This window comes from Homo sapiens, chromosome 8 (assembly GCF_000001405.40).
Source record: "Homo sapiens chromosome 8, GRCh38.p14 Primary Assembly".
NCBI lineage: Eukaryota > Metazoa > Chordata > Mammalia > Primates > Hominidae > Homo > Homo sapiens.
In genome coordinates, this window is record NC_000008.11 from 51,106,059 (window position 1) to 51,113,477 (window position 7,419).

A 7,419-nucleotide genomic window follows, 5' to 3' on the forward strand; every position below is an offset into this window, starting at 1 on the left:
CCTCAACTTAATGAAATTGCTACAACCCCAGCTAGGAATGTAATTCTAAACATAATTTTGTCAGAATAATCCTGAGTAACTATTGTTTAAATGGAAATATCCATATTATTGGTTAGTAGGTTCTCTAAGACTGACACCTGTACATAGTTTATGTATCAGATGGTTCTTCAATAATTTCTGCATCTCCTCCATTGCATCTATCAAGTAATAATAAATAACAATAATAATAATAACAACTACAACAATAGCAGCAAAACCCTTCCTATGTGTCAGGCATTGTTCAAAATGCTTTACATTAATTAAGTCATTTAATCATCAAGATGATCCTATAAAATATAGTAACCCCAATTTATGGATGAGGAAACTGGACAAAAAAGTTTGAAAAACTTCCCGAAGTCACGTAACATGTTAACTGATGGGGCGAGGATTGACTCCTAGAATAATATTTTCAAGCTAAGCTTTTAGCCACTGTGTGCTACTTTGTGTCTTCCTATAACACACACACACCTACACACACACATGCATTTGCACATACAAACACATATATGGCTTTATTTAAATTTTCTTTAAACTCCATCCTTCTCCTACACTAATAACAATACAATATTTTATTTTGTTTCAAGTAATATTCCATAGAGCCCCTGGTGTACCACAAACCTCAGTGCAATAAGGCCATAAAATTGAATTTGTTGAACTACGAGTTGTCCCTCGTGGTCTTATGCTGATTTGGGGTGAAAGACAGTGCCTATAAAGACTATAATAAGGAAGCCTTCAATCAGCTCAGTAGGTAGAAAGATTGCCACAAATACCTTAGGAGGTACTTTATTATGATGCTCATTTTATTAAAGTAAATTAATTCACCCAAATAATAACTCTCAAGGACAAGATCACTCCCAGGCATGATAACACTAGAATTCTTACTCTTCACCATTATGATGTCAAGACAATAGTCAAGTCTTGGGATAAAAATTCATGTCTTCATGGCATCCGCATTTTGACAGTAGCTGAAACCAAAGGAAAATATAAAGTTGCCCAAAGAAAGCAGGAAAGTTAAAAACAATGAGCTGGACTCACAAAACATAAGCATGAAACATATAGGCGGAAAAAGAGGTGAAGAAAATGTGAAAGGTAGGATAAATACTAGCTATGGGTGCTTCAAGGGTGGCTCAGAGTGAAAAAGTCAGCCAGTTTCAGTTTCAGAAAGGAAGGGGAGGAGCCATCAAATGAAATAGCGTTTCACTAAGGAAAAAAGTCTTGAATCAAATGAAAGCATCTACGGAATTTAGGATAGTTTCAGCAAAGTGGTAGGCTTGGAAAACATATTTAAGTAGTAGAGGCTGGGCACAGTGGTTCATGCCTGTTATCCTCGCATTTTGGGAGGCTGAGGTGGGTAGATTGCCTGAGCCCAGGAGTTCGAGACCAGCCTGGGCAACACAGTGAGACCCTGTCTCTTAAAAAAATATATAAAAATTAGGCGGGCCTGATGGTGCGCACCTGTGGTCCCAGATACATGAGACGCTGAGGTGAAGGATTGCATGATCATGGGAAGTCAAGGGTGCAGTGAGCCGTGATTGCGCAATTGCACTCCAGCCTGGGAGACAGTGAGACCCTGTCTCAAAACTAAATAAATAAATAAATAAATAAATAAATAAATAAATAAATAAAATAAGAAGAGGTAGAGGTTGTTGAGGGAATTGGATGTAAGAAAGTGGAGATAGCAGACATAAAATCTTTAGGTTTTTTGTTTGTTGTTTGTTTTAAATAAACTTGCCTTAAGGAAAAAAATAGCTATTTTCAATTGTAAGACAAGGTCAAAGTTGATTTTTTTCCTCCTTTGAGTTGACAGAAAATTAAGAAAGTTTACAGCGAAAGGAAAAATGCTCTAGTCAAGAGAAAGAGGAAAATAGAGGTGACAGTAAAAAGAGGGAACACTTACTAGAGGAAATTATTGGAAGACATAACAAAAATAAAATTAAGATTTTATTTTAGGAAACTTCACTCTCGGATATTGATGGGGAAGCTTGACACAGGTGAATGCTCCCACTGAGAACAATTAGAAAAGGGAAGTAAAATACCAAAAACTGTTTGGAGGAATTGGAGAGTTTACACTGTACTCATAACTTAAAAAGCCAGACCCTGGAGGAAAGGGAGCTTATGTAGGAGAACCTAAGTTTATGCAAGCCACATTTCCCCTTAAGCATTTGCCCACTGGGGGTTGAGGGAAAGGCTGAGAACCAAGACAGAAGGCAGATGTTAACGAGAAGAGGAACCACCAAACTCCCGGCCATCCCATGGAGGAGACAGAACAAAATATTGGAGTTGATGGGTCAAGATGACCAGCGGGGTAAGGGGCCAAAATCTCAGAGAGGAGGGAAGCACAGAGATGTGAAAGTGATATTTAGCACCTTCTGTCCTGTTAACACATTGTCTACATTAATCTGTGTGGTAGACTGTATGATGATAATCTCCTTAGTGAAGGAGAATAAAAAACAAAGCAAAAAGGAACTGCAAAGCACAGTGCAGTTGTTGGCAGTATTGCCGTTCTAGAAGACAAAATGGAATCAAGGAATCGAAAAGAAGGAAGACTCTAGGAATCATCCCAAGCTCTCAGTTATTTCCCTCCAGGTACTACACCCTAGGAGTGTGGGTAAACCAGAGAAAGACTGCACCTTACACAGACCATAAACAAGCCATGATTCACTTCAGTCCCTAAGAGATTTGAGGTTATCCAATTTTCTGTTCCCTGCACAAACTACCAGAGCACAGGATACAGCCTGTATGAAGGGAGAGAACATTATCTGTAGAATTCTTAGTTTTTTGTATAAAATTCTGAGCAGTCATTCAAAAATGTTTAAGCATGCTAAAACAAAGAAAGTAGAAAAGCAGACAGCAGAAACAAACCTGCAGGTGACCAATATCAGAATGGGTGAAAACAAATACTGCAGTTACAAATTGTATAACCCAATTAAAAAAAAAAAAACAGCATACCAATGGAAAAATGGGCAAAACTTGATATCCCACAACAGAAATTTCCAAAAGCTTCCTATATTATATGCTTCCAAAAGCATATTATACTGTATGCATCTTTATTAGTTGTCTGGGAAATGCAAATTAGAATCTCAGGCAGACTCTACTAGAGACCTACCAGAATAGTTAAAAACAGAATGACTGATAAATTAAGGGTTAATAAACAGATGTTGTCACTGGGATCCTCATACATGGTTGGTAGTAATGAAAACTGTTCACCTACTTGGAAAACTCCTTGTAAATATCTGCTAAAATACACACATACCCATTTATACGAAATTCAAAAACTGACCAAAGTTATCTAAGCTGTTACAAGTCAATCTGTGATGGGTAGTGACCAGATAGGAACACAGGAAGGACTTACAGAATACTCTTTTTGAAGTTCATCCCTATTCCCCAAATCACATTCTCTCAAGCCTACCTTTTTGTGTTAGCCACTGCTGCAGCATTGAGCTGAACATAGGTGTCCTTCAGCTACGTTCTTCATGACTTGGATTCTGTGTCTCTTACCTTCTATCTGGAGCTTCTCTGCAGCTGTCACATTCTGTAACTGTAGGAATGTTCTCAAACATACCAGAAATTATGTAAATATATAAATACAAGGTAGTCACTACATTCTATTGCTTTGGTCAATATCAGGCAGGAAAAAATTGTTGATATTACCCTTTTCTTGGTTTCTTGTAGGCAGTTCTGAGATTTGCTCTGCACTGCTTTTCAGGGATCTCCAGCTACATGGAGCCCCAAGTACCCACAACACACACTAGCTCAATATGCACTCTTGGATTGGATTTTCCTTCTTATGGGTTTTTCTAATCTTAAAACCTTCGATTATGTTCCCTCTAATTACTTCCTACTTTTAACTACTTGTCAACAATCCCTTGATTCAGGCTTTGCTTTTTGAGGAAACCCAATCCAAACATGTTGGTAATCTCAGATTCTGGAATAAGACCACTTATTGATCAGAAGAGAATCTGATCTTATTGCAGGTGAAATTAGAATATTGATAATCCCTCAATGTGTAATAAATTATGGTTACTAAAACCTGATCAATGGTTGATTATACTGAGGTACAGATGAAAAATGAAGCATTTGTTGAAGCCCTAGTAGACACTTGAATGTTATAGTGTCTGTGATAATTACCTGGTTTTATTTAAAAATTTAGAATCCTTGAAGAAGACAGAAGCAGAATCAGATTAACCATCAACTCACCTCACCCTGAGAAAGCCAAAGATCTTCCATGGTAGCATTTAGAGACTCATCTCCTGCAGCTAAAAGATGGAGTGTGCTACAAATTAGTCTAGAATATAATTATGAGAGGAGCCAAGGTACAAGTAGAAAAAATGCCACACCTCCTCCCACCGCCAAGTCTCCTCTGGCAACATTAAGGAGTTGATAAGATCCCTCCTAGCATAGGCTAGGTGATAGGGCTTAAATGACAGAGGCAAAAAGGATACAATTCTAAACAAAGTGATATAAATATTATTGTGTGAATGCCTATATCCTCTCCAAATTCATATGCTGAAGTCCTAACCCCCACAGTAACGGTATTAGGAAGTGGAGTCTTGGAAGGTGATTAGATTATGAGGCTATGGCCTTCATGATTGGGATTACTGCTCTTATAAAAGAGACCGCAGAGAACTAGCTCACCTCTTCCATGATGTGAGAACACCATGAGAAGGTGACATCTATGAACCAGGAAAAAGGCCCTCACCAGACACCAAGTGCTCTTGTTTTTCGACCTTAGACTTCCCAGCCTCCAGAACCATGAGAAATAATTTTTTGTTATTTTAAGCCACTCAGCTTATAGTATTTTTGCTATAGCATTCTGAACAAACTAAGACAAGCAAGAAGAGAGACAAATAAGAAAGCAAATAGGATGTTGTTTGGCTTAACCAGAGAAAACTAACAACAGCTTAAAAGCAAAGGATTGAATTCAGCTGTAACAATAGAATAATGCAACTTTTCCTAAAATTTCCAGATCTAAGCCAGTACTTTGACTAGAGACCTACAATGAAACAGCAAGGGCAGTTCATTTGGGGAAAGGTCTTAAATACCACTGCATGTATATACAATAAATACTACCCCAATATTTTGCCAAAAGGAGCTGAAGCCATTCACCAGAAGAGAGAGGAGCAAAAAACAAAAATAAAAGCAAAGCAAAACAAAACAAAAAAGTGCCATTCACCATTGTGTCAAATCAATGTGCAGGGAAGCACTCGATAGTTTTACAGGATGATTTTTCCTGCAGCTGATTAGAGTGTTGCCTCAAGCTAGTGATTCTATGCACATACAATGGGCTTTTCAATAAAGTACTCATGATGACAGAATGGAGCCTATTATTGGTTCAAAATTATAGACTCCATCTAACTAAGGTGAATCTAAATACTGCTACTGATGGAGGGCCAAGCTATTGATAGCAGAAACCAATACTTAGCCTTTGAAATTGCACTATTCCTCAAGAGGATGAGCAAGTTTCCCAGTGGCACATTGATTAGATTGGATCACTTCTAGTCTGAAGTGGGTAAAATTTTGTCCTTACTAAAAGTGATATCTGTCCTGGAAATGAGCTTGCCCTCCCTGCTCAAAATACCTCTGCCAATACCACCATCTGAGGGTCTAGAGAAGGCTTGATTTACTTTCATGAGTCCCGGAATAAGATCTCCTCAAACAAGGAATTTTTTTTTAATCATGGAAGTATGGCAATGGGCAACTAAACCAAAAGTCTCAGTGCTCCTCTCAGATATAGCTTCGCTCAGAAACAGGCAGCCTGGTAGAGAGATGGAATGTAAAGTCTTATTAAATGCTCAGCTGAAGTGTCAAGTAGGGGGCTTTGGTGCTGTCCTTCAGGATGTAATATATGTACTAAACCAGTGACCGAATACTATACAGAATCAGTAGTACCTAAAATACATGGATTTTTATACCAAGGCTTAGACATAGAATCAGCACTTGTAACTATCAAATGGTTGAGGAATTTCTACTTCATTTGTCCACAATTACGCTGGATTAGAAGTGTTTGCATCCTTGCATCTGTGTGTGTGTGTGTGTGTATGTGTGTGTGTGTCTATGTGTGCGTGTTGGGATGAGCAGTACTTCCCTACAGGTAAACAGTAAGGGTTCAGTGAACCCAAAGCTGTGATTACCCATAACGATGTTCGAGTTCTCATGCTGATTGACTGGTAAGAAATAAATGAAGTTACTATATTGGTAGGATTGATCGACACTGATTTATATGAGTGTTAAAGCAAGATACCACACAATAGAGACAGAAAGGATGATATCTAGACCCCAGAATAATCACAGGTTTATCTCTTGGTGCTATGTCCAGTTACAACTGTAAATGGGAAATCATTCCAATTATGGCTCAATTAAGGCAAAAGCAACCAAGGACTCTGATCCCTTATACTGTTCACCTTACTGGATACGACGAGAAAAATCTAAATGAGTGAGAGATAATAGACATCATAAGCAGAACAGACAGCCCCAGATCAGTTATAGTTGGTGAGTCTGTAAATTATTTTACTGGTCCTTTTGTGTTGAGTCTTTTGGAGAGATTGTAACTATCTGACACTTTGCAGTCTTTTGTGATAGTCCTGATTTAGTTAATGAAAAAGCATGAGTGGATCCAAGATGCAAGGGATGAACTGTGCTGAACATCCATTGTACCCCATTCTCTTGGCCAAATGTTTACAATTGGTCATTCACAGCAATCAGTTGAGCATAAATATAGCTTGAGAACATATGTCCTTGATTTTACTGTTTATCTCTTTCTTCCTGCACTGAAAATTCTCTTTTGCTGCACATAGGGCACCTGAAAGAGTCTACTGAGCCATTTAACCAAGTGTACGAATCTGGAAGTGTGAGGGTGTTAGGACCTCTTGGGCAGTGCAAAGCAGGTGTGTTCAGCAAATCTCTTCTTCCATGTGTACAGCAGACAGACCTTCCCAGTTGATCAGAGGATCGCCAGTAGGATTGAAGCCTCTTTGCACACAGTGGTAACCAGTTCAATTTTCAACTATTCAATTGGCTTTCTTTCTTTCCTTATTTCACTATTCTAAATTCCCCCAGTTTTATTCACTGAAATATTTCAAATTAAACTAGCTATATACAAGTTTTTGTCTCCAGTTCTGCTTTTTAGAAGAACATAAGCTAAAAGTATGACAGTGTTCTATTTTATAATCTGGGTGGTTGTTACACAGAAGTAAAGTGTAATGAGTGTACTATTCAGCAATAGAAAGTTTATTTTAAAAACATATACTCCAACTTGGGAGATTCTAAGTAGATTCTAAGACCATGCTATCTCATGAAAACTTCTTACCCTAATAGAAATGATATCCACTTACTCTTAATATACCTTTTCTTAGCTCCTTGAAAATGTTCCGTTCCATATCC

At 38.0% G+C, this 7,419-nt stretch overlaps 1 long non-coding RNA gene across 1 annotated transcript; it reads left to right on the forward strand.

The window, feature by feature from the left end:
• The first annotated feature begins 1,010 nt into the window (after window positions 1–1,010).
• On the forward strand, window positions 1,011–7,006 carry LOC105375831 (uncharacterized). The gene is made up of 3 exons (XR_928866.1): window positions 1,011–1,128; window positions 6,356–6,528; window positions 6,834–7,006. It is a non-coding gene; the product is annotated as an uncharacterized LOC105375831 (long non-coding RNA).
• The last annotated feature ends 413 nt before the right edge of the window (window positions 7,007–7,419 follow it).